Source organism: Homo sapiens, chromosome 17 (genome assembly GCF_000001405.40).
Source record: "Homo sapiens chromosome 17, GRCh38.p14 Primary Assembly".
NCBI classification, from domain to species: domain Eukaryota; kingdom Metazoa; phylum Chordata; class Mammalia; order Primates; family Hominidae; genus Homo; species Homo sapiens.
Window position 1 is genome coordinate 33,129,232 of NC_000017.11, and position 27,789 is coordinate 33,157,020.

General features: G+C 45.7%; 1 protein-coding gene and 1 long non-coding RNA gene across 4 annotated transcripts in view; one reads left to right on the forward strand and one right to left on the reverse strand.

The window, feature by feature from the left end:
• ASIC2-AS2 (ASIC2 antisense RNA 2) overlaps nt 1-22,999 on the forward strand; it is a 40,225-nt gene extending 17,226 nt beyond the window's left edge. Inside the window, exon 3 of one of the 2 annotated variants that reach the window (XR_934686.3) lies at nt 22,918-22,999. This is a non-coding gene — a long non-coding RNA (ASIC2 antisense RNA 2). Of the gene's footprint in view, nt 1-19,067; nt 19,153-22,917 lie in introns of those variants that run through there. The other variant, XR_001752836.2, reaches the window with a different exon arrangement.
• The window catches only part of ASIC2 (acid sensing ion channel subunit 2), a 1,143,682-nt gene that overhangs the window by 116,145 nt on the left and 999,748 nt on the right, over nt 1-27,789 (reverse strand). The window lies entirely within an intron of this gene.

A 27,789-nucleotide genomic window follows, 5' to 3' on the forward strand; every position in this document is an offset into this window, starting at 1 on the left:
GTCCTCAAGGCCCAAGTGGGATGTAGCTGGGAAGAGGTTTGGTAAAGAGGAAATCAGGTCTCCTTCTATTAATGTTGACAGTCAATTCTCTGTCTTCTGAAAACAAAAAAAGAAATGGCTGCAGGAACTAGGGGTATTTAGAATAGAAAATAGCCGATTTAGAGAGAATCACGCCTGCTATCTGCAAATATTTGAAGGAATATCATTTGGAAAAAAGAACAGACATATTCTTTCTTGTACTGCCATGGAGAATAGTTCTAGGATTTGGGTTGGACATAGAGAAATAAAATAACAACTAAAGTGTCCAACAATAACCTTTCTTGGGAGATGCACATATTCTGTCATAATAATGGTGTGGGTTACAAAGGTGTATCCCTTTGTGTAGGGTAAACATACCTGGGAACAATAACTTAGGCATGCCCTGAGGATGACCCTGTATGGCAGATGCATCTGAATGTGTGTTCTGAGCTAGAGAATTCAGGAATGGCCAACCTGGAGACTCATTCCTTGTCTATGAGGAACACCTGAGCCCCTGTCCTGTCCTGTGGGACATGGGCCATACAGGGGATTGGGGACCTGAGCTTTGGGTTAGATGGAGGTTGTTAGGTGGAGGTCATTAGTGGGAGGGTGTTAAGTGAAAATGCTATGTAAACTGCATGCTGTTTGCAAATGGTCGTGGTTTTCCTGCCCAGCCCGCCACTGGGCGGCTGAACAGCGGCGGCCACTGGGCTGTTCATAAGGCAGATCAGTTGCCCAGCCTCCCACCACTGGGCTGTTTCTGTATGTAAGGCAGTTTTCCTGTATAGCCCGTCACACACTGAACTCTCTCCGTATGTAAGCCCCTAGTAAAACCCCGTGTCTCATCTGTGGGCTCTGGGTGTCTTCTTTAGCCTCTTGAACCTGGTGCCTTCTCTACTGAGGTTAATAGGGGTTCAGCACAAAAATTTCCCAAAACAATACAGGTAAGGTTTGTGCAGGTCAATGTACATGAATTTTTGCAACAACAAAAAAGCGACGTTAAATTCTCCTCTTTTTCTCCTCCTTCTTTTCCTGCTCCCCTTCCTCCCCCTCCTCATCTTCAGGTAAAGGATAGAAGTGGGCATAGGTACAGAGGAAACAAGAATGGCAAAATGTTAATATTGTAGGACTTGGGTGATAGGTACAAGGGGTTCATTAAACTATTCGATCTAGCTTGTATATGTTTAAATATTTTTCATACCAAAACACATACACGCTAATTATTAAATGAAGATGAAGCAACCACAAACAATTTTGATTGTCAGTTGAATGGGCTACATTGGAAGGTAGTGAGCTCCCTGTCACTAGAAGTATTTATGCAAATGCTATCTGCATGCTCCTCAACTCCCCAACCCCCCAAGAGTCTGGGATATTGGAGGATATTGTCAAGAGCAGGGGACTAAGCGGATAACCTTGGCCTGGATCCTCACTTTTTCCTCCTGGAGGGGGGGACTTGGCTGGAGTCTAGAAGAGACCTGGATTCTCCAGAGCCATGAACTGGAGCCCGAGCTCCTCATTCCAGATCACAGGAGGTGCTGAAGGTGGAGTCAGGGCAGACATCTAAGGGCCCTAAGCCTGCGGAGAGGGGAGTGGAGCGAGATGGGAATCCAAGTCAGAATGAGGAATCACAGATTTGGAACACAGTCTGAGCCAGTGACAACATGAGATTTGGGGTTCAGATCCACATGCCACTGCTTATCAGCTGTGTGTGTGAACCTGAGCAAGGGACTCAAACTCTATGAGCCTCAGTGTTTTCATCTGTAAAGTGGAAGATAGGATTACCTTACAGGGTTGTTGGAGAATTAAATGAATGTGGGCACCTGGCATAGAGCCTACTATGCTTATTGTGGTTATTATTATTTACAAAGGGGAGACGAGCCCATGCAAAGACAGGATCCAATGGGCAGAACGGGATAGGACTTGAAGACCTGCTTCAAACGCCAGCTACCACTGGAGGCTCATATTTCTGGGATGGCTAAGGGATGAGTGTCTGCATGGCTTAAGCAGGAGGAAAAAAATCTACATAGACCCTTCTATTGATAAAATTTTAGGTTTCTAGAGGAATCCCAAGCAATTTTTAGGAGTAATTGCTGGGGCTCTCCATGCCCTGGATCCCTCCCCTCTCTCATAAAACTGCATGATGCTGGAAAGCTGTGTGTTCATATTGCTAGGACAGTCTGCCACAGCTACCCCCACGACCCCCAGAATCACTCAGCTACAGCCTTGGAGGCCTTGGCTTGTGACCCTATCCTAGCCCCTGAGCCAGTCCACACAGTGAATCCCACAAGGACAGGCAAGGCATCTTTTTCATCCCTCTCTCTGCAGCTCCTGTCACACCAAGGGTGTCTAACAGCTGCGTGCAGGGTAAACAGACAGATGCATGAGCTATGTGTGAGGACAGGTGCTTCATGCTCCTGGGAGTCCTGTGAGGCTGGAGGAGGTCATTCTCTCTGGGGCGGCCTGTCCTCTCCAAGAGGACCATGAGTGGCCATTGTTGGCAGGCAGAGGCCTCTTCATTTCCCTGGCCGGCTCAGGCTACCAGTGTGGCTGCCCCGCTGAACACGCCATACATCACACGCCTAATGGTGCGTTTTAGAACATAAGTGGTAACCACCAAATGGGACCCGAGAAGGGAATTAGAGCCAGACACACAGTGGGGAGGGGAAAAAAAATCAAGAGTAGCCTCAGAGGAAATGGGGCCAGATACAATCATCCTGAGACAGGAGAAAACCATCTCCCAAGCATCAAGAGGCCAGGGGAGTTCATTTTATTTAAAATGGGTTCCCTTTATGGAGAGCTGGCCTGGATGCTGGGCACCATCAATGCTACCTGCACTGGGTCTGCCTAGCCTGACCTGGGCCACAGCTTTCTGAAATGCTCTGTGACCTCCTTCCAGCCACCTATTCAGGTTTTCATTCAACAAATATTTTGGCACACATACTATGTGGCTCAAGGTTATGTACTGTAACATTTAAACTTATGCAATGTGAGCCAAATCGCCTGTCTTTGAATGATGGTTCTGCCCCCAAACTGGGTAGTTAGTGAATTTCCCTTGCTTCAGTTCTTCCTGGTATTACCCTCCATCTTACAAAGGCTGTCATGATGTTAAGAAATAAAACCGGTTAAGTGTTTAGAATGGCAGTGAGTAGGTCCCCAAGGGTCCCTGTCCTCCTGGAACACACATTCTAACATTCAAGCAGAGTGAGGTGGCTGGGGGCCAGTTGTTTTCAGGTCCCCCGTGTCCAGTTCAAGGTCTGCACACAGTAGGCATTCAGGGCATTTTATGTGAACCAAGCACAGAGCACACACACACAGACTCACACACATGCATGCACGTACATACAGATGCATGTGCGCTCATGCACACTTGCGACCTAGAGCCTCTGGTAGAGTCCAATTTCCTGGGTAGGTAGGTGAAGTTTTCCAGACCAGTTTAATGAAAAGGCAGCTATTCCTGGGTCCTGGCTTTATGCAGGCATCTTGGTTCCAGGGCTGTCTCATGTCTGGCCCTTGGAGTTTCCCTTTTTGTAGAGCTTGGCTCTGCCTTCAAAATTTTAAAAATTGTTACGTCCTGCTTTTCTATGTGCATGGAGTGGGAGATAACTTTGTGTTGGCTCAGTCCATTCTGGGGATGGAACTAGAAATCATGAGCTGAATTTTAATTTTACTTGCTCATGTCCTACCTTGTTTCTCAAAGTTTTTGAGGTCGTTTATATAGACAGATGAACAATAAATGGTTTCTACCCTCAAGGATTGTATAGTCTCTTCTGAGGGTAAAGTGTGTAAGCAAACGGCTACAATAAACAACAGCAGAAAGAAATGCATGGTAAATGGAGGAATCAGTTAAACACGGGGAGAGACAGAGTTGGGCTGAGCGATCAGCTCTCACCTGAGCGATCAGAAAAGGCTCATGGAAGAGGTGAGATTTTCAGTGAGGTTTGATGGAGAAGGAGCATTTCAGGACACCAAAGGTGGGGAAGGGAAGAGGGCACAGCATGAGCAGAGGGCACAGCGTTGGCAGAGGCGCAGAGGCAGGGCTTGAGTGAATGCGAGGGGTGCTCTGGGAGCAGTGAGCGTGCTGGCGGAATTGCAGGGGAGGCTGTGGAGGAAGTACTGGATGGGATGGGAAAGGTGGACTGAAGATGGTAAAGGTGGATTGAGCCAGATTATGGGGAACTGAAGGCTGGGTAAAGGCCAGATGTTAGGCCAGACAGCTTATGCAGTTATGTATGTAATCCCCAGAGTTGCCTTACATGTTATTATGCCTATTTTAGGGATGGGAAACTTAGACTCTCAGAAGTTACAAGATATTCTACCATAAACAAATGATTATCCCAAAGGATTCGATCTTAGATCTGTAAACTTTAAGTCTGTGTGACTCCAAACTTATGACACTGCTGCCATGAGGCAGTTCAAGAAATAGGGAAGTTATGAAATGCAGCGGCAAGGTAGGTCCGTGGTGATCTCCCGGGTGAGGCATTGGAGTGATGATGAACACTGTCCCTCCTCCTTCTACCCTGCCCCATCACTACCATCAAAAGGATAGAGGAAATGACAAGCTGAATGGAGGTTAAAAGTAAAAGAGAAGAAGGGCAGAGAGACATCAATGCAAGGACTTTGTGAAGGCTTAGCGGTGGAGGGCACAGGAAAAGGGATCAAATCGTCAACCCACAAAAGACAGTCTGGGAATTATGCCTCAGCTCACTTGACAGAACAGAGTCTGAGGTGCAGAGAAAGGACCGCAGCTTCTGCCTCTGTGCTTGATTGAGGGACTCCTTCACTCATGCACTCAACATCCAATCTCCTACATGCCCAGCACTGAGGGTTATGGAGAGGCCAAAGACACAGAAGGTGAGGGGGAAGATATTGAGCAAGTAATATTACATATGCAAGTGCAAAACCTTGTTTATTTCTCTAAGTGACTTGGTGTGGCAGATGTTACCATCCCCATTTTACATATAAGAAAGCCAAGCTCAGAAAGGTTAAGTCAGTTGTCCAAGGTAGAGCTGGGATTCACACCGAGGTCAGTGTGCTACCAAAGCCCGTTCCTTTTCACCAGTGCTCTCTGCTCCCCTGCTGTAATACCTGCCCTCCAAAAGCTTACAGAGCAGAGGGATGGCAACATTGATTGCCCCAAGGAGGACACTTTGGAGAGTGAAAGCAAGGAGCCCACTCAGTATTATGCCAGATGGGAGGCAAAACCTGACACTGTCCCGGGCAAACTGGGATGTAGTCCCCTTATACTAAAAAGGAGTTATTTATATTTGTGTGAGGATTTAAAGTTCCTCAGAGCCTGTTCTTACTTTCAGTCATGTTTCATTTATATGGCAAAACAAGAAAGTTTCCCAGCTTGCTGAAGCTCATCCTTTCAAACACTTCCAGAGCCTGGATAATTCTGGATGGTAAGCATTGAAACGCAGCACTGGTTGTCCTGCCTGAGTAGAGAGCCCTCAACCTGGGTTGTCCCCGGGCTGGCCTTGCTCTCCCACTTGGCTGGGGAGGGCTCCCATGGCTTGTGGTGTCAGGAGCAGAGCTCTGAGAAGGGGAACTCCATCATAGCCCCTGCCCCAAAGGTTGCTCCACAAGACTGGCATTCTCAGACTCTAATAAGTTCTGTACTGGGCTTTCTGTGGCTGGCTTCCTTCAGAGAAACTCAAACCAGCATCAACTAAGTCAGAGACTTAGGATAGCAGAGAAATATTACCACAAGAAAGATGAGAAGGCCCTGGAGGTGAGAGGGGGTCTTTGAGCTCAGTGAGTTCAAACTCTTCACATTATAGATGAAGACACTGTGACTCGGAGAAGAAAGGTGACTTGCCCAGTCATATGCTAATAAGTGGTAAAATGGGACTGGAATGTGGGTTTTCTGACTTCCAGGATGAAGTTCATTCCGCTTAGCCCTGCTGCCCTCATGAACGTCCTGCTCATCCTTCTTCCACCCCAGCTGCCCAGGACCTCAGGAAAGTGCCCGGAACATGCCCCGCTGTCTCATCCCTCCATGCCTTTGCCACTGCTCTTCTGCCTGCCTGGAATACCCTTTCCAGGAATACCCTGCCTAGAAAATACTTTCCCCTCTTCAAGAGGAAGTGGAAGCATCCCATCTGGGCAGCCTTACTTGAATCACTGTGCCTTACTCTGCCTCTCTGGGTCTTGTTCCCGGATTAATTTTTGGTATCTATTATAGGGTGGAATTTATGTGTCCATCTCTCCATTTGACTCCAGGCTCCCAGAGGGCAAAAATTTGCTCTTGTTCATCTCTGTATCCCACTGCCCTGTGAGGGCATGTAGCGAACTCTCAATCAATGTTACTGTATTGAATGGAATGAGAGGTATGACAAGAGGTTGGGAAGGGGCAAAGATGGAGCCAGGCAGGAGGAGACAGGCTCCGACACTGACTTCCTCATGTCACCATGTTGACAAGGGAGGCCCTGTGTAGAGAAGGGGTTTAGAACGGGTCTAAGGGAGCAGGGGGAGAGGCAAGGGGGGCTGGCAATCCTAGAGACTGCTCAACCCTGCCTCTGCCTGTTGGAGTCAGCCTTTGGAAAAGTACTAGTGAATTAAAGCCCAATAAAAAAGTCAATTAAGTCCAAACTCATTTATGCCTTAAGCTCCTCCAAGCCAGTGAGCTGGAATGCAAGCTGGGCCAATATTTCTCCATTTCCCTCCATGTCTACATTGGTCTCCAGTGAGGCAGCCGTGACACATTTTATTTCAACTATAAATGGGGCAGATAGACGGGTAGCAAAGTAATGGCTGCTGGGGGCTCTCTGGATCCCATCCAAGAGATTCATGTCAGTGGGCGTAATGTTCATGTCCTGACCTTGGGCTCTGATAGAGCATAGGGAATCTGTGTGCTTGTGCATGTGTTCCCGTGTGCACGTGTGTTTGCATACATGTACTGGGGGTGTGGATGTGTCTGTGTGCACTATTGTTTGCTATATATAAAAGTGCAATTTGCACATTTGTGTGTTGATTCATCCATTTATTCCACACATATTTACTGAGCACCAGACACTGTGCTTGCCTCTGGTGTTCTCAAGATAGAGAAGGTTTCAGCTCTTACACTTATGGGTTATACGGTCCAGAGGTCTAGAAAAATACACACAATAAAACAAGTAATGACAATAAAGTGTATAGAATGTTATATGAACACAGGTATGCACATGCATGCTTGAATATCTGAGTGCATACATGCTTGGATATCTATGAATGTATGTGCATGAATCAAGTCTCTTCTGTGTGCATGTGTTTTGTGTAAGCTGAACCCAGCTGACCCATGTCGTGGAAAACTTCTTCTGGAAGCCCTTGCAAACCAGTGATAGCTAAAGTGATGTGATTTGTGTGTGTGTGAGTTGGGGAAAGATGAGAAGAAAGAATTAAAGTTGTCAGTGGTATCTGAGTCTGAAGAAGGGGCAAAATACTTAAAGAGTATGCATAACCCATGGCTTCTCCACTTTCCTTTCATTTCCCCTTGAGCTCATATGACCATTGCTCACCCACGGAACCCTCAGGAGGCTAGGGCTGACCCTCATTGTTGGGATAGATGGAGAAAGTCTGGACTAGGGTAACAGCACATGGATTCTATTCCCAGTCCTGCTGCTAAATAGGAAATTCATTGCAAAAAGGGATGTGGAGTTAGGAGTCCCAAACCTGCCTTTACCAGCTGTACAACCTTGGGCAAGTTTCTTAATCTCTCTGAGCCTCAGTTTCCTCATTTGTAAAGAAAGTGTAATAATCCTGTCTCTATCTACCATCACAGGACTGCTATGACAGTCCTGTTCTAAAGCACCCATACAGAAGTGGAACGTAGCTAACATTTCTAACAGTTATTGTTCCTACACGGGACAGCCGCCTGCTGCTGGGCCTTTCTAAAGGAAGCTTTGACTCCACTCACATCTGATTCCTTGCATAGCATTTTGCTAAGTATTGTCCCCAAAATACTACTTCTATGAGATGCTTAAAGGAAGAAAACAAGATGCTGTGGTCTAATAGGTTAGAAAACGCTGGGCTAGCTAGGGTTAAAGATGTTTATTTCTTACAGAACTTATCAGAGGCTTTATTATGCCAATGTGCATTGTGAATCTCCAAGTGGGTGGCAGAGCATACACCACTTCTGTCTGAGATTGGATCCCTCCAGGGGCTAGAATTTAAGGGCAATGGTACATTTGAAGGTGACTTCAGGAAGACCTAGGAAAGGAGTGCAGAAATGAGGTGGGGAAGGGAAGACAACCAATATAGCATATATTTGGAGCCAGTTCCTGCTATGGATGACTGGGGCTTAGCCCTGCAGGGGACCTCTGAGAGATGGTGAAAACCACACTGCAGGGTTGGGGAGGAAGCTGGGCTCATTCCTATTTATTGTTGGTTGAGAGCTACTCTTGGAGTGTTGCCATCCCAGGAGTTTTGGCCTGCTCAGTGCTTACACCCAGAGTGTTTCCATGGCTGGCAGATGTTCTTGGGCAGAAAGTCACTATTCTCAGGAAGTGCCTGACAGCAGGAATAGAGTACATGGAGGTGATATGGGACAGAGCACTGAAAGCATCTGCTGCAAGTTCCTCACCTGACTTGTTCTCCAAATGTACAAAATCCCTCCACAGATGAGCCCTAATCTATTTTTCAAATTGTAATCTTTCCCACTGCCTTTTAGCCTAAAAGACAGGCTGTGTGGATTGCTACAGTGGGAGTGGATTGCTGCAGTGGGAGGGGTGAACACAAACCATCTCTCTTCTAACTTGGATTTCCGGTGACCTTTAAAACATCTGTCACTTGATGTACCTTATGGAATAGGGTCTGTGGCTCACAGTAGGGCAGAGGAATCCAGCAGTTTGGGGGACAGAGGGTCCTGGGAGGTGGTTATTCAAGAGGTCTGGCACCAGGAAAGCCAGAATTCTTGCTGGAAAAGCCAAGATTGAGACTGGAAAGTCAGAGTTAAGCTTTAGATACAAAGTGCCAGCAACAAGCAATGGATGGGCTAAGGTGGGAGAGCCTATGTCAAATGTCCCTTCCATGAGCCACTGCTTCAGGAGTTGTCATGGTGTCTCAAGGGAGCCATGTCAGGCTGCACAGAGAACATCAGAGCTAGAAGCACAGGAACCCTGAGGATTATTTAACCTTTAAATTATCTAACATTTAAGTACAAGGAAAATTGAGGACTAGAGAGGTGAAAGGACTTCCCCAGAGATTACACCCAGCAATTTAAGAGCAGGGCATGAATCAGAACACACATCCCTTGCTCACTATTGAGACCTTCACTCGGAAGTCCTTGACTAGTACACTTCTTCCTGCCAAGAATTTGACCATTGCCCGTGGATTTTTTGATGAGGAAATAATCCAAGCAACATCCCTTTGCTCCAGCCCCTTCCTGCCCCACCTTCCTGCCATCAGCGGTGGCACCGAAGCCCTCCCTTCACCTTTCCTCTTACTTCTTCATATTCCTCGGAGGGCTCCCTGCCACCTCAGGTAGTAATAATATTTTTGATTTTTAGACATGCCAGCAAGTTTTTCCAGGCAATGTGAGGAGCACAAATGCTAATGCCTCCATCTGGGGATTATGTTAATATACTATCTTGAATTGACATTTTAAAAAAATGCATATTTTAACTGGCTGCCTTTTCTGTCTCCAAGTCCAGGATCACATAGTATTTAGTGGGATGGTAGAAGTGGTTAGAGAAAGGCCCTGGGTTGGGTTGGAAGTAGTGCCAGCCTGGGGATCAGAAGTCCTGGAATTCAGTACCCTGGCATGTGGCCTTAGGTGGGGCACTTCTCATGTCTGGGCCTCATTTTCCTCAATTGTAAAGTGGGAGGGCAGGGCTGGACAATCCCTAAACCTCCTTCCAGCTCTCACCATCCATGGCTTTTGACTGTCAGAGTCTCCTCAAAGCTCTTGCCTTCTTCCATCATCTTTGCCCTGGATTCCAGGGCTGCCAGCAATGTCACCTCTCCCTGACCTTGGGACTGTTAGTTTATATGCTGGGGACAGACTCTTTCCTGCCTACCTGTTATCTCTCTTGGACTTACCTCCCTAAACTCTCAACCTGAGGCCAGCCCCCTCTTCTGACTGGAGTGAAACATGGTGAGGATGGAGCTGTTTCCAGTCCCTTCCCCAGATCTATTCTTTCTCTGAAGCCCAAAGTAAATTTTCTTGGAAAAATCTTTCAGTCCATTCTGTGTCCAGAATTTGCTAAATATGATCCCCTTTTTGCTTATCCAATAATTGGTGACTGTTGTGGGCAACACTGTTTTGGGCACAGCCCCCCACAACCCTTTCCTTGATGTTGTCCCACACTTCAGTGACCACCTTGGCCAGGCCCCCAACATCTCTTATCTGGGCTACTGGGGTTCCCCTGGCTCTCAGCCTTGCTCTCTGCTGGTTTGTTGCTGATGCTGCCAAAGTCCCCTTCATTCCCTGCAGCAGCATGTCCCCTCCTGCTGGTCTCTCAGACTGGGCCCCTGGTTTCAAAGACTCACTCCCAGACACCCCTATCATGGGCCATGCCTTGAAGAGTACCTGTATACTTCCCCTCCCTTCTTTCCCCGGAGAGACAAGATTGCAAGCTTGGATAAGTGCAGAACTAGGAGGCAGGAAGAAATGAGTGTCAGCCTGGGTCCTGCCATTAGCTATTGTGTTCTAATGCTAGTCCCTTCACGGTACAGAAACTCAGTCTTCCCTAAAATGGGACTAACACGTTTTGCCCCATCTACCTGCCGGGGTTGTACATGGATTCGTAAAGGAGAATGTGCTATACAGAAGGGATTATTTGGGTGTTTTTTCAAATGTCTTCTGGGGGCCAGCTGCATCAGCACTACCTGGGGATAGTAAGAAGATACAGATTCCTGGGCCTGGCCCAGAGCTACTGAACCAGACTCTCTGATAATAAGGCCCAGGAATCTGGGCTTTAAATAAGCTTCTCAGGTGAGTCCCGAAGTCTAAGGCTCTCTGGTTATTGTGATGGTAGCTGGCACTCCCAGATTGTGTTCCCACCTCTCCCTTTGGCTGCTTGGACCCACTGCACATGCTCTGAAGACTTGATTTGTGCCTAGTGTATGGGCAGCTTCTCTCCACTCCCCAGTGCTGGGATAATTTTTGAGTACATCGGAGAAGCAACATGGTGTAGTGGAAAAAGCAGGAGCTTTGGAATTAGACCAGTATTTGAACCCCAGCTCTGCTACTGATTATCCATGTGACTTTGGGTAAATTGCCTGACTCCCTGAGTCTTCATTGTTCTCCTTTCTATGATGGGAATTACAGCAATTATCTCAAGGCTGTGGTTAGCATTGCAGGAAATATATATACATAAAGTAGCTGCCACATTGTACAAGCCCATGAAAAGCTATTTCCTCCACCCAAGGGGCCAGAGACCTGCTGTGTTTGTTTAAGGTGGGTGTCACGTCACATGGTGTGTTTGGACTGAAACCCACAGGGGACCTGATTTGGGAAGCCTGGCAGCAAGTGTAAGACTTTTGCTGAATTCCCCAGAGCCCAAGCCTTGTCCTGAAAGAGACCCACGGCTCCCTGTGCAGGACTATTAAAGTTAAATAAGCTGCTCTGTGAGACATGCATTATTAAAAGCATGCTGGACTAGCTGTTAAGCCCAGCCAGGGCTGCCTCAGTGAATGGGGCTCCCCTGGGGCACATTCCATCCGGGCCACAAGGCAGAACCACAAGACAGAACCACAAGACATGGACACAGCATGAGCACAGCCTTTGCCCTGGATGGGGCAGCTAAGCCTGAGCAGAGCAACACAGTGGGCTCCTGCAGAGCTCTGGGGGCTCTGAGTTGCAGCTTTTCATTTGCAAAGAAAGAGAGTCGCCTGTCTCCCTCATTGGACTAGGGGCTTTCCAAGGACAGAGCTGTGTCTCTCGCATCAGAGAGTGAGTCCTCTTATGGCAGCCATCAGATTAGGTTTCTTGGGCAGGGCCATATCTCCATCACCAGATTGAAGGACTCCTCCCCAAGGGTGAAGGCTGCTTGTGATCTTTGTCCCAGAAAGTATCTAGAGCATCCCTTTCTCCCAGCCTCTAGGCTCCTGCAGCCCTGAGGGCTCTGCCCCTTGCTTTGTAAGCAGTAAAAAAGCAGAAGGCAACCAGCTTTCTTTTACAGGTTGTTGGGTTTTAAATAAAGATAGTTAAAATGATTTATATTCTGCTCAGGGGGAAAACTGGGGAGAGGAAGGAGGAGTAGGTTTTCCTGGCAAGGAAAAGCGGCATAAAATGTCCCACTAAATGCTCACTCAGTGGCCTCCATTCCTTCAAGCACAGAGCAAACACTTGTGATTTAAGCTACACCCGGTGACAGGTTAGTATCAGAACTGTGACTGTGGGTTTGACCCAAACACTTTGGTGTTGTAAGGCTTCCCAGAAGACAAAGGACAGAGAGGGAAGAGCTGATTCCAGGGTGAGAAGAAGGGGTTCCTAGAGGGATGGCGGTAGCTCCCAGCAGATATAATTCCCATTACATGGGCTTCAACTCTTGTCCATTAATTTATACTCTGAGCTCTAGGTCAAGAGCTTGAGTAGGAGGTTGACCTGAGCTTCTCCCAGCTCTGCTGTTAACTCATCATGTTTCCATGCGTGAACCTCTTACCCTCATGAAACCTCAGTCATTAGTGACTTGTGCTTTCTTAAAAACACCATCTGTAACTATACAGGGTGTCCATGAAGTCTGAAAACTTAGGTGAATGTACAAAATAGCAATAAGGACATCTTCAATTTGTTACAAAATGAAATCGTATCTATGTTTGCAGACCCTATTGGCATATATTTATGTGTGTAAGATTATTTTATAAATATCTGTCTTCTCCATTAGACTACAAACCCCTCAAGAGCAAAGACCAGGAGTTTGTTCTCTGTTGCTTTTTCAGCACTCTGCACAGTGCTTGGCACATTCTGAGAGCTCCATACATAGTAATTAAATGAATTAATAAATAAACGAATGGCAAGGTTTATCTTGGGAATGGGGAAGGTAATGAAATAAAGTAAGGACTCAAAAGTGAGCTTTGAGAGGATGTGCTCAGATGTTTGAGACACCCAGCTCATTAACTGGACTCTTTATGGTGTTGAGAAGTAGCATTTCTGCCCAGAGTATTTGGTTGTGATAAAAGAGGTAGTAGAGAGGTAAGATTCACCATGCAGAGGCGAATCCACTCTTATCACCCAGCTGCTTCTGAACATTTATAGATCCCTTCTCTGTCTTCAAAGGATAGCTGTATTCTTTTATAAAGGATTAGACTCTTGCTCTGAGAATTTGAACTCATAGCAGGTCAATGCACACCCAGCCAGGGGTCCTCAGCAATGCAGAGCAGGTTCTCTCTCTCTGAAGAAGACAGAGCACAGAAAGCACAAAGAACAAGTGAGGCTGGTATGGGGCTCTGGGGCATATGGTTCTCTTGGCTGGAATGTTAAGTCCCTCACTAGTCCACTTAACTTTTCAGACTCAGTTCCATGACCACACCCTCTACTCAGGTAGAACTGACTGCCTTCTCCTTTGGGCCTCACTGGAAATATAGGTATTATTTTATCATGTGTCTGAACATACCAGCAATAAGCTATTTATTATGTATTTGTCAATGTTTCTAGATGTGGTGACCACCCTCTATATGTATCCCGTAGATGGTAAATTTCCTTGAGTGGTTGGTGTGGCCAGATGAAAGGGTTGGTCACTGTCCATGGTCCTGAAGGCTAGGGCTGAGTGTCTTCCAGAACACTGAATCATGGATGTTTCCCTACCTTCTTCCACATATAAACCAAAAAGCTCAATAAGGGCTTAGTGATGAGCTGCGAGAAGAAAACATGGGTCCCAGGGTGACCCAAAGAAGGATGTGATTGGTTCTACCTGTTGCATGTGACTCCAAAGCCTGCCAGCATGCTACCTGATGCTAGTCAATAATTGAGATAGCAGTGTAGGTAGGTTGCTTAGACCGCTGAGTCTTTCTTAGATCATGGATGCTAGCTTCAGGTGAAATGTAGATATCTTGACATGTAGATATCTCAGGTGGACCACATTTAGGGACAAATATAGGTTGGACTTGAGGTGTGCTAAAGTCTTTTGCATTCTAGGGAGCTAGGAATTGCTCATTTTCAATAGTATTAATCTCATGATGAAAAGTAATTATTACACCCTTTAAAGCATTTCACATGTAGTTTTAAAAGTGCAATTTATTGAACACCTACTATGTGCCAGGTACCATGAGAGTTGCTTTTGTTTCTCATATATTATCCCTAATCCTTCAAATAACCCAGTTAGAAAAGCTATTATTAACCCCATTTTGGGAAGAATAGAAAATTGTCAGAATGGCCAAACAAGCAGCCCAAGGTCACAGAGCCAGTTAACAACTGAGTTAACTCCTGACTGTTGGTCTCTACAGACAGTCTATGTCTTTTTACTAGTCTATACTACCGAATCTTTTACCAACTGCCTAGCAACAGAAAAAATAGTTTCCATAGCAACGATAGTAAAATCAGTATTGGCATTTGGATAATCCAATTTTTCCAAAAAAACCCCCATAAAACAAAAAATCCAACCCTAAGCTAGTATTCCACATCTGGAAATGTAATTGAAGAAAACAATCTTAGCCATGGAAAAGATGTATGCATAAAGGAATGTACTGAAGCATTATCTACAATCTTTAAAAAAGTTGCAATAAGAAATGTCCAACAATAGGAGAAAGATTAAATGCAGTGTGGTGCATCATTCAGTGTAGTAAACATGGTCTGGTATAATATGGTCCCACTTGATGCCCAACCCTTCTCTTTCTAGGAAAGGCTTCCATTTTCTGGGAACCAACTCCCCCTGGGCAATAGTCATATTATAAGACCCTACTTTCCTGAGCCATGTGATTGGTCCGGGGTGGGCACCTCATCCAAGCTGGGCCAATCAGTTACTTTTCTGGAATTAAAAAACAAACAAACAAAAAAAAAAACGAAAAACAAAAACAAAAACAAAAAAACAGGTTTAGAGACTGCTCAGTTTCTTTTTGGGAACATGGAATGTACAGTAATATCAGGAATATGGCTGGCCCTGTCTTGTCCCTGTGCAATGAGGGCAGAAGAGGGGGCCCATGGTGAGAGAGGGAAAGAACAAGAGTGGGGGAGAAAGAGAGAGAGCGGGTGGGATAGGGAAGAGAAGGGGATGGGAAGGAGTTGGGTGCTTGTGAGCAGTAAAAGCAAAAGTGGAGTCCCTACAGCACTCCATCCTGCTTCCAAGTCTTCCAAGAGCTCAACAGCACTTGAACCCTGTGAGATACCCTAGCATTCTTCCAATAAACTCCTCCCTTTACCCAAGCCAGTTAGAATTAGATTTCTCTTATGTGTAAGTGAGAGAGTCCTAATTTAAATAGTAGGGGTTTAATACCCTGTGTTTTTAGGAAGAAAATGTAGGGCTGCCTAGGGTGACCGATGCATAATTCCAAGGTGGAAAACCTCTGGGCCCACAAGAAGCAGCCTGGGGGAGAAACTTGACATAACCAGAGGAGAAGGTGTGGTGTGCACTGAGCCCAGAGCTCATGAGGGTTGGGGAGCTGGGACACCCACTATATGGGTATCTATCATGACTTTAGGACATGTACCTAGACCCCTACCCTTCCAGAAAACTCACTCTCCTGAAGATACTATGGAAATCAGACAAGTAGTGGATGAATCCGATCTGAGTCATTGCTCCTTCATTTTCATTGGCCTGGAAGCTCCATGACAATCAAGGTTGTCTCCTATTCAGCTCTGCATTCCTAGAGCTAGTACAAGGCCTGGTGCAGAGCAGGTGCCACGTGAGTGCTTACTCTCCTCCAGGAGGTAGACTGGAGTTGCATTTCAGTTCCCTTCTTACTCAATATATGGGGTTGCTATTTATACATAGTCTCTCAGCTTCAAACCCTTCTATGTTCTTCTTTGATGGTGGGGCCAGGACTCTGCAAACTATATTTTCTGGTTCCCTCTTCCCAGGAGACTGGCAGGCCTGGGTGGACTGGGGAAGGCAGCCTCTACCAGCTTCCAGCTCAGGTCTGCACCCTTCTGGCATCAGGGGACATTGATGGTCCTAGACTCCAGTTTCTTTTGGCATTCTTGGCACCACTGCAGCACCAGCGTTGCCATGCACCTCGTCCTCTGGGCTGCCATCCCTGCCTGCGGTCTGAGCAACTATTGGGCTACATGCCATAATCTCTTTAGCAACTGCCTGGCATCACCTCCCGACTAGATCGTAGTAACACCATTTCTTCCCTTTCCTTGCCCAGCCCTAGAGGGTGGCAATGGCTTCCTGCAGAGATTAATCTCCAGGTTACCTCACTGCTCTCTTTTGGCTTTTTCAGACTTCTAACACATGCATAAGATATTTCCAACATTAAATAGCCTTTGTTTCAAATTCCTTACCTATTTCCGTATTTCTGACAATACGTGATTTATTTTAACTTTTTTTGAATCTCAATTTCTTCATCTATGAAAATGAGGGAATAATCCTTAACTCTTGAAGATGTTGGGAGAATTCAATGACATGATAATCAAGTACCTGGAAGAATAGGTGCTTAAAAATGCTGGTTACTCCTTTCGCCCCATGACCAAATAGTCAACCTGTCTATGCAGGAGGCTTTCTCCTCTTGATGACTTGCTGAAAGAATTGGTGGCAAGGGCACAGGGCACAGGAATTGTGCCCTGAGCAGCAAGAAGCCATGCTTAGTGGAGCTCCCTCACCCTCCCGCCACAGCCGACCCAGAGACATGGCCAGTGGAGATCCATGGCCAGGTGGAGGCAAAAGTGTTCAGAATGAATAGTGTCTTCAAAACATTTCCTGCTCTTAGCACCCGCTATCTTAGTCACTTGAGCAGATTCTAATTTAGTCTCAGAAATATTCTTCAATGGCCCCAGGCAGGTGCTATATTTCATGACAGAGATGAGAACAGGAAGCTCAACTTCCCGCCTCCTCAGAGTCAATGACGAATCCCTGGAAGTCAGCAGAATGAGGAAAGGGGGAAAAGCTACCACCCACAGGACAGTTGAATGAATGAGCAACTAAATGAATACCACTGGGTACTAGGCTCTAGCTTTGGGGCTTGGAAAGCATCTTCTCTCATTCAGTCTTCACAGCAACTTACCTGTCCATGTTACAGATGAGGAAATTGACCCTCGGAGGGGTTAGGAAGGTAGCCCACATCCCAGAATCAAGGTGGCAGAGTGGGGTTTGAAGCCCACTTGGCTGGCTGCGGACCTATTCTCTAGGTCCTCCCAGAGGGCACCTGGCTCTGACTCAACTTCCTACTATCAAAAACTAGGAAACAGGTTGGCTCTGGAATCTGAATAGGTAACACTCAGATCATATTTCTTAGAAACCAAACTCCTAGTTTGCTCACAGCCAAACAGCCTGAACTGAGCTAAGACAAGAGCATCCTGTGGAGATCAGGCAGAAAGATCTGTGCCCAGCTCATGCCTCTGGAGCTCGGAGACCTCTGTGCCGGCAGAAGACAGCATCACACCTGTGTCCTCATCTGCTCGACCTTGGCTTTCAGCTGGCTGGTTTGCAAAGAACAGCCGAGGCCTAGGCCAGAAGGAGAGAAGGAGGAGGATGCATTTGGAAGGACCTAGAAGTTACATGATAAATGCCAGAGGCCTGGGGCTATCTGCTTGGGAGCTCTTATTACTTCAGTCATTCTCAGGGGGGAAATCAGCTCATAGCAAACCCAACCTGAGCCACTTTCCTGTGCTAATGTCAATCAACGGGTCAAACTGAGTAATTCTATTTTTCACTGCTGCTGTTTCCATTTTGCTCCTTGATATCTTCTAAAGAACTATACTCCCCTACTTGGAAAATGTGCTTGCTTATTTTTATTCCACATCTGAAGTAAGAACTTAATAACTATCAAGTCTGGGTAAGGCTAGGTAAACTGGACAATATGACAAGAATAGGGTAGATGGCAGGAGTGCTATTATTTTTATCATTGTAGAAACCTGTGAAAATTTAAATATTTTAGAACACATAAAGTGGATGGTAAAAACTGCAAAAAAAGCAGACTTAAAAAGTAAATAAGAGAAGAGAGAAACCAGTTGAAGCAAACATTTGAGATGAGCTAGTAACAGTATGTGCATTGTGGATTCAGATCCAAATATCCTGATAGCCAATGTCCAAAAAAGAGAAACAATTTTCATTGTTTGATAAAAGACATCATACAAGTTCAGCTGGTACTTAAGTCTAGAAAGACAGGTGGGCTGATGTTGTCTTACTCAATAGAAACAACTGCAACTTTGATAACATTAATATACACCAGTGTTTGGGCCAGAGGAAGTGTTGTTCTCTCTAACAAGTTTCAATTCAGTATCTTTTTTTTTTCTTACATTTAATTGGACACAGCAGGATTGTCCTAGAGGGACTACGGTGCAGCAGCACAGAGGAGGTAAAATAATCTTTCTGTGTTTGTGCCATAGGAGGATCTGCTAATAATTTTTCTAATGAGCAAAAATGACCCCACACTACAGTGAAATCCCGGGCCAGTGCCAACTTAGACTCAGCTGGCATGCAGGGGAAGCAAGGAGACTAACATTTATTGACCGTGGCACATCCATCACTTTTAAATGCTTGCAACAAGCCTGTGGACCCCAATTTAGCTCCTACTCAGGGGCTTCCCTCTCCAAGTTGGAGCTGCGTGCTGTGGGCGCTGGTTTTCATCACAGACTGGAGGACCGGGATGCATAGCTCTGTATGTTCACTTGGAATCCTGCAATATCCAAGCAGGTGAACTTTGGAGACAAGGACACTTCACGCTACTGAACAGATGCAGGAAGTGAGGCCTGGAGAGGGGCAAAGACCAGAGTAGAACCAGGCTTTTCATTTAAGACAACAAATCAAGCATCCCTAAAATGTAAAGTAATAATAACAACGCCTTGTCAGTATATAATAGGAGCACAGTTAGCAAGGTGCTTCACACCTTCTGTGCCGTTTCATCTGTCCCACAGGTTGACAGGGAGATAAGCAGACTTTATGCTTTTAGTGAATGCCATACTGCACAAAGAAACATTGACACATACCATATGCTACCCACATAAGCCAGCAGTGATTAAACTCATTCCACAGGTAACTGAATTGGGGTTCAGGAAGGAGAAATGAACTGCCCAAGGTCACACAGGAAGTGGCAAAGCCAGGACTCAATCAAGGTCACCCAACTTCACATTTAAGGTTTGTTCAATCCTACCATGATTCCTTTCACCTAAACATTAGGATGTGCGAGAAGAAGCACACTTGGGTATCAATGCATCATTTCCAAAGTGCACAGTGACTAAGATCCTAGGGCCGGAGGTCAAACTGCCTGGGTTTCAACCTCAGTTCTGCCATTACCATGGCTGTGCCATTTACTTAACCTTACTGTGTTTCAGTTTTCTTACCTGTAAAATGGAAAGAATGATAATAAATTCCATACTTCTTTATTATGAAAATTAAAAGATGATGTGAGAAAGCATTTAGATGGATGTCCTGCTCAGACCTCAAAAAATATTAGCTCACAGTATTTTTTAATTATAAAAGTCATAATAAAACAGTTGTATCAAAGTAATAAGAAATAAAAAGTTGTTATAAAAAATAAAAACTTGAGGCCAGGTGCGCTGGCTCACACCTGTAATCCCAGTAGTTTGGGAGGCCAAGGCAGGCGGATCATCTGAGGTCAGGAGTTCAAGACCAGCCTGGCCAACGTGGTGAAACCCCATCTCTACTAAAAATACAAAAATTAGCTGGGCATGATGGCAGGCACGTGTAGTCCCAGTTACTCAGGAGACTGAGGCAGGAGAATTGATTGAATTCAGGAGGTGGAGGTTGCAGTGAGCTGAGATCATGCTGCTGCACTCCAGCGTGGGTGACAGAGCAAGAGTCTGTCTTAAAAAAAAGAAACAAAAACAAAAACAAAAAAACAAAAAACAAACTTGACATATATCTTTTCTGACATTTCAGTTTCAGATTTTTGTTTTGTAGAAAAATGGGAAATATAGAAACATAAAGAAAACAAAAAATTATTGTAATCCCAACACATAGCAATAATCATAATGTTTTGGTGTTTTTCCAGCTGTCTTTTTTTCTAACATATGAACTACAAACTTTGTTTCTATGTGTTTTTTATTTGGCATTAAAACATGGGTATTTTCCTATGCCCCTGAATAGTTTTTTAAAGTATAACTTTCAGCCATTATAAAACTATGTTCTTCTGTAGGTGGACCATAATTTATGTACTCATTACATAATGTTTGAGTGAAGTTGACTATTCTTTCATCATTGAGTGAAGAGGCTACGTCAGATTTGCAGCTGCCTCTCTGACACTAACACAGTGACTTGTATATAGTAGATGCTTAATAAACATTCAGGTGACTGAAAACTCATGTTTTGATAGGTGTTTCCAGAAAGTTCATACCAATTTATATTCCTGCATTTATTGCATGAGTGTCTTTCACATAGTAATCTCAGCAGCATTTGACTTAAAAATTGAAAAAAAAATTTGCCAATTTGTTAAGTAAAATATGGGACATCACTATTATTTTAATTTTTAATTTATTTGATCAATAGTGAGGTTGAAAGTTTATTCATATTTTAATTAGCCATCTGTATTGTATTTTTCCCTTTTCCTTTTCTTCCTTTCTTATTTTTGTCTTTCCCACCTTCTTTTGAAAGTACCATTCTTGAAGGAACAGGCACCAGACTAACAGTCCTGATACATTTCCTTGGATACCCTCACATTTCCAGATAATTCATGAGGTTCATAACAATGAATTGGGTGCTTGCTAATTATTTTAAGATAATTGCATGAATAAGTTCAGATGCTCATTAATTCTGAAAGCTGTGACAGCTCTCAGGTATTAATGAATTTCTTACTCAAGTTTAGGGAGTTGGCAGTTGACACACAGCTTTCCTGACATTTCAGCTTCAGATTGCCATTTTGTTTTCCTGTAATTCCATGCACACCTTATTAAAGTTCAATTATGGCTTGGAGGAACCTTCATCTAAGGCATTAGCATCCAGTTAATTACTGAGAAGTGATGACAATTGAAGACAAATGGATTTCATTTCCTATCATGACACCAGATTCCCTCCCACCACCTGCCCAGTACAGGTGCACATTTCTTTGGCACGGATGCCCTACTTGCTGTTCAGGGAATCACAGAACATTCTAGAACTACAGGAGTCAGAATATTTGATTTTTTGCCTCCAAAGGAATGCTCAAATCCTCCTGGAAAGATGTTGTCCATTCTCTTCTTGGAACAGCTTTGGAAACCAAAGGCTAGCTTCTACTAATAATCACTTATTCCAAGGTCTTATTATTGATAAGCAATAAGTTCTTTTTTAAATCATAGTGAAGTCTTTCTTGGGGGTGTGGGGGTTCATGCCTGTAATCCCAGCACTTTGGGAGGCTGAGGGGGTGGATCACTTGAGGTCAGGAGTTTGAGACTAGCCTGGCTAACATGGAGAAACCCTGTCTCTACTAAAAATACAAAAAATTAGCCGGGCGTAGTGGCGGGCGCCTGTAGTCCCAGCTACTTGGGAGGCTGAGGCGGGAGAATGGCGTGAACCCGGGAGGCGGAGCTTGCAGTGAGCCGAGATCCCGCCACTGCACTCCAGCCTGGGCGACAGAGCGAGACTCCGTCTCAAAAAAAAAAAAAAAAAAAAAAATACAAAAATTAGCTGGGTGTGGTGTCAGGCACTTGTAATCCCAGCTATTCGGGAGGCTGAGGTAGGAGAATTGCTTGAACCCAGGAGGTGGAGGTTGCAGTGAGCTGAGATAGCACCACTGCACTCTAGCCTGGGTGACAGAGCGAGACTCCATCTGGAGGAAAAAATAAAGAATGCTGGGTGTAGTGGCTCACACATATAATCCCAGCACTTTGGGAGGCTGACGGATGGATCACTTGAGGTCAGGAGTTTGAGACCAGCCTGCCAACATGGTGAAACCCCATCTCTACTAAAACACACACACACACGCACACACACACACACACACGCGCGCACACACACACACACACAATTAGCCAGGTTTGGTGGCCTACACCTCTAGTCTCAGCTACTCTGGAGGCTGAGGCAGAAAAATCGCTTGAACCTGGGAGGCTGAGGTTACAGTGAGCCGAGATAGCGCCACTGCACTCCAGCCTGGGCGACAGAGAGATACTTTGTCTCAAGAAAAAAAAAAAGGTTAAAAAAAGAGTGAAGTCATTCCTGCTTTAATTTCTGCCACTGACTCCTACGTGACCTTAGAAAGTTCTCTTGTGGTTTCCTCATTTCTAGAATGATGGTCCTTGTGACGGTTTGAATGTGTACCCAGAAGTTCATTCGTTGGAAACTTAATCCCCAATGCAACAGTGTTGAGAGGTGGGACTTTTAAGGGGTGTTTAGGTCACAAGGGCTCTGCTCTCATGAATAAATTAATGAAGCTATTGTGGGAGTGGGTCAGTTATCACGGAGGTGGGTTCCTGATAAAAGGATGGGTTCACCCCACTTCCCTGCTCCCTCTCATGTGTGCTCTCTTGCCTGTCCTCCTTCTGCCATGGGATGACGCACCAAGAAAGGCCTTGCCAGATGCAGGCTCTTCGACCTTGGACTTCCCAGCCGCGGAACTGTAAGAAATAAATCTCTGTTCTTTATTAATTACCAGGTATTCTGTTATAGCAGCACAAAATGGGCTAAGACACTTCTGGAGTAATCACCCTGTGTTAAGTCATAATTCTAAAGCCCAAGATGTAAGTAAAGTGCTTCATATATGAGAGTTGCTTAATAAATGTTGTTTCCCCTTTGTGAAATGCCTTTTGTTGCAAAAAAGGGATAGGAGGGAGCTAACACTGATTAAGGGTCTACCATTTAATGTCATCTCCTCTGGAGACTTTCCCTCTACCATCTTAATTAGTACTGAAAACAATCCTGTGGAGTAGATAATATTATTATCTTTATTTTACAGATGAGGAACCAAAGTTCAAGGAGGTTCAACGTCTTACAGATTTGGTGGTGCACTTGCTCTTCCCACTGCCCAGTGAAGCGCTACTCGATCATACTAGACACAATGTGGTTGGTCTATGGGAGGGAGTATCAGGAAGCATGAGGAGCCCACACTTCTACAAAGAGTCGAGATGCCTTCACAAAGATGCCTCATGCTGCAAGGTCGTGAATGCCAAGTGCTCTAGTGTTTCAGAGGTGGAGGAGATCCCTACAGATGAGGCACCAGGAAAAGCTTCAAGGTGGAGGCCGGTCTGAGTCTGGCCTCAAAGGATGAAATGATTCAGATAAACAGCAAAACAAAGCAACAGGAAGGGAGAGATAACAACAAAGGCAGAGATGTAGGAGTGAGCAAGGGAGACTGAATGAGCAGTCCCTGGGACAGAAGGTGTGCACAGGGAGGTGGGAGAGAGAGTGCTAGGAAGGGAGGCTGGCACATGGAACATGGAGGGTTTTCAGTGTCATGTTCAGGGCTTTGGACTTGTTCCTGAGACCTGGGTTTCCCAAAGGGAGTTCTGCTACTGGGGAGAGCCTCAGAGGAAAGAATAAAACAGAATTCCCTGTACATCATCCCTTTCCTGGTGAGTTACAATGCACATTAGCATGTTACGTGGTCTGGGCAGTACTACGGAAAAGAAAGGCATACAAGGTATTTATTTTTTTAACTTTCCACTGGGAAATTTCCAATTAAATAAGGTTGAAAAATCGAACCCAGCAGAGGAGCAATAGAAACCCTCCCCTCCGAGGCCGGAAGGTAATTCAGTCACCCCTGGGGTTTCTCTTCCTGAGAAGAAATCTTGTGCCTGTGGCTTGGATGGCTGCAGCTACTTCCTCCCAGGAGGCCCCTTCCTGGCTTTCTTTTTCCTCTCAGTTTCCAGAGTTTGAGGCTCGTAAAGCTCTTTATTATGCGTAACTCATGTAGCACTCAGATGGGATGGTCATCCCCATTGCAGAGATGAGGAAACAGTCTCAGAATTGAAGCACCCTCCCAAGATCCCATAGCCAGGTGGGGGTAGAGCCAGCATGGGCACCCAGGGCCCCCAGTGTGGGGTTCTCCCCGATGCTCTGCCAGCTAACTCCTCCCCTGTCCTTTCTGGGGTGACCAGGCTTCCACTCCACTTTAAGGAGCGATGGATGTAGATTGGCTTTATTTGCAGGGGTGAGAGTGCACTTGGGAAGGAAGATCTGGTTCCATGATTTGGGGGCAATATGATCACAGGCTAATAACTCAAGAGTTACATGAGGAAGTGGGGGAAATCTAGGGAAGTGCTTTACTTATTTTTTGAGTGCTTACTATGGTCTCTACACTCATGAACACATTCCAGTCTTTGGAAAGTGGGAGGGAGGCATGGTGTCTGGTTTCTTGGGTGCAGTAATGGTGGGCTTTCGTCTACTATTTTGACGACAGTTTTGCAGGGTTTATGCTTTCACAATTTAAGTGATATATGTTTCCCAGGTATGCGGCTGATTTCATGTCTATGGTGAACACTGATGTCTCATCCCATTTCCCTTCAAGGAAAGACAGACCTATTGCCCTCTGCTATCAGCAGAGGTCTGTGACATCAGCTCCCTTAGGGACTGCATTAGGCTAGAGAGAGGAGCTCCACCTAAGATCTTGTTCCTTCCAGAGACAGCCCACGTCCACTCTTGATCCATGTGAATTTGGGGGGCCTGGCCACCTTGGCCCAACTTGGGTTAGCTCTGAAGGGCCACTGAGATCCGAGCTCCTGCGGGTTTGGCAAGGTTTCCTGTTGGGTCTGGCAAATCACAGTTTGACTTCTCCCCACTCTGCTTATCCTGTTTCCTTCCCCTCTGGTCCCAAGGGTGCTCCTTCATGAACATCCTGCAGACTGAACTCTACCTCAGGGTCTGCTTCCTGGGAACTAGGGTGACCAGGCATCCCAGTTTGCCTGAGATGTAGGACCAAGACAGTCCTGGGCAACTAGGATCCTACAGCAAACCCAACCTCAGACAATGTACTTCTGTTTATTATTGTTATCTTTTTGAGAGGCAGGGTCTCACTATGTTGCCCAGGCTTGGGTGCAGTGGCTATTCACAGGTGTGATCATAGCTTACTGCAACCTCAAACTCCTGTACTCAAGAATCCTCCTGCCTCAGCTTCTTGAGTAGCTGGAACTATAGACATGTGCCACCATGTTATGCTGTGTCTATATATTCTAATACTTTCATGGCAACAAATTATTTCATTCTTTAAAAAGTTGGTAGCAGGGCATTTGCCATATCCCCCTTAATGCTTCCCCAACAATATCATGGGAATCTTGGGGAGATGGGTATTATGGTTATTATCTCCCCAATCTTGGTGAAGCAGGTATTAGCCCTAGGAAATTAGGACTCAGAGAAGTTAAGAAACTTTTCCCAGGCCACACAGCACAGTAGCCATGCCGGAATGAAACCTAGGCCTACTGAGTCCAATGCCTGCCCTCTATCCACCAGGCCTCTTTGGTTTTAAGACACGCACCTTGGCCGTGTGTTCCAAACACAGCTGTAGGTAACTAAGGAGGCAGAGAAGAGCAGTTGCTGAATCCCAAACATGCTTGGAGCTTTTTGCAAAATAAAATCGCACTTTTTATTCAATGCCTACCTTCCCATGCAGGCCTAGTTTTAAGCTTCTGAACTTTCTGCTAATTACTGTCACATTAATTAAAAAATAAATCCTTTTTAATTTCCTAACAGGTGGTTTGTGAGGCTGGAAGAGGAGTTGAAACTTGTTTGTAATTATTGTGTGGTGTATTTGCATTTCTAATTGCGCTGAGGGACACTGAAGGCCAAGCTTCCAGTCTCTGGGCTGTCTTTCACCTGCGCCGCGGTGCTGAGTTGTTGGCGGCGGCGGCAGCGTCTTTTCTCCAAGCAGCACCTGTGAGAGCAGCAGCTCCAGCTGGAGTCCCAAGACTTCCAATCAACATAGAGAGCCACAGGGCCTGTGCCTGCGTGGGTTTGCTGTAAGGAGCCTGTAACGCATCGAGGAGCCCAGCGCCCAACCCCACACCTGGCATTGGCTGGGTGCTCAATAAATGCTGGCTGACCACGGCTGTTCCTGAACGAATCCTTATCTCGCTTATCTGATTCAAGCGCCGGGTGGGCGCACTGTGGGCTGGCAGCAAGGGTTCCTGATGCCAGGACTCTTGGATTTGCTCCACAGGTGTCTGCGCATCCATCTGGAAACTGAGCATCTGTGCAGGGAATCCATTTCCTCTTCTAACTTCTGAATAGCTTTAGATACTTCTGACTTCTGAACCCCTTTAGATGTATGCTGTCATTTACCAGGAACATCCTAACATTGATGATTGAGGCTTCTTTGGCCATTTCTGCCTCCACAAGCCTTACTTTTTTTTTTTCTTTTTTCTCTTCTTTCTTTCTTTCTTTTTTTTTTTTTTGAGACGATGTCTAGCTCTGTCGCCAGGCTGGAGTGCACTGGCAGGATCTCGGATCACTGCAACCTCAGCCTCCCGGGTTCAAGCAATTCTCCTGCCTCAGCCTCTCGAGTAGCTGGGATTACAGGCGCCTGCTACCACACCCAGCTAATTTTTGTATTTTTAGTAGAGATGGGGTTTCACTGTGTTGGCCAGGCTGGTCTCCAACTCCTGACTTCCAGTGATCTCAAAGTGCTAGTTACAGGTGTGAGCCACTGCACCCGGTCCTCCACAGCCTTTCTGTAAAGGAGTTAATGAGCCGCAGAGTACTACTTGAGTGCATTGTAAGCACTTTTTACTTAAGGCCCCAATTTAATGTGGTGGAAGGATTACAGGCTTTGAGGTCAGACCTACCATGGTTTGAATTCTGGCTCTACCACTTAGCAGCTGAGAGACTGGAGAAATCATTTAACCTCTCTGGGCCTCACACAGCTTTTAAAATCTGTCAGATGGACAAAATCATAACTTGGTTCTGAATTTCTCAAACTTAGATACACATCAAAATCACCTAGGGAGCTTGTTTTTTTTTTTTTAACCGAGTCTCACTCCGTTGCCCAGGCTGGAGTGCAGTGGCATGATCTTGGCTCACTGCAACCTCCGCCCTGCCAGTTAAAGTGATTCTCCTGCCTCAGCCTCCCTAGTAGCTGGGATTACAGGCACCTGCCACTGCACCTGGCTAATTTTTGTATTTTTAGTAGAGACAGGGTTTCTCCATTTTGGCCAGGCTGGTCTTGAACTCCTGACCCTGTAATCCACCCACCTTGGCCTCCCAAAGTGCTAGGATTAGGCATGAGTCACCATGCCTGGCTTAGGGAGCTTTTAAAAATGATCAGCTTTTAAAAATAATCATCAGTAAATGCTGGCTCGGTGTGGTGGCTCACACCTGTAATCCCAGCACTTTGGGAGGCTGAAGTGGGTGGATCACGAGGTCAGGAGTTTGAGACCAGCCTGACCAACATGTTGAAACTCTGTCTCTAATAAAAATACAAAAATTAGCCAGGTGTGGTGGCATGGGCCTGTAATCCCAGCTACTCAGGAGGCTGAGGCAGGAGAATTGCTTGAATCCAGGAGGCGGAGGTTGCAGTGAGCCGAGATTGTGACACTGCACTCCAGCCTGGGCGACAGAGCGAGACTCCATTTCAAAAAAAACAAAAACAAACAAACAAACAAACAAATCAGTGCTTGGGTTAGGCTGCAGCCAGAACTGATTAAATCAGACTGGGGAGACGGGAGGAAGGGAATATTGGATATCATGATTTTAAAAAGCTGTCTGGGTGATTCTGTTAGGTAGTCAGGGCTGGGAACCACTGCCTGAGCCTCTTGACATGCTCAGACAATGCTGGTTCAACCCTTTCCTTCCCTTGCCTTGGGAAATATAGCCTGGCTATAGTGGTTCTGGGAGCAGC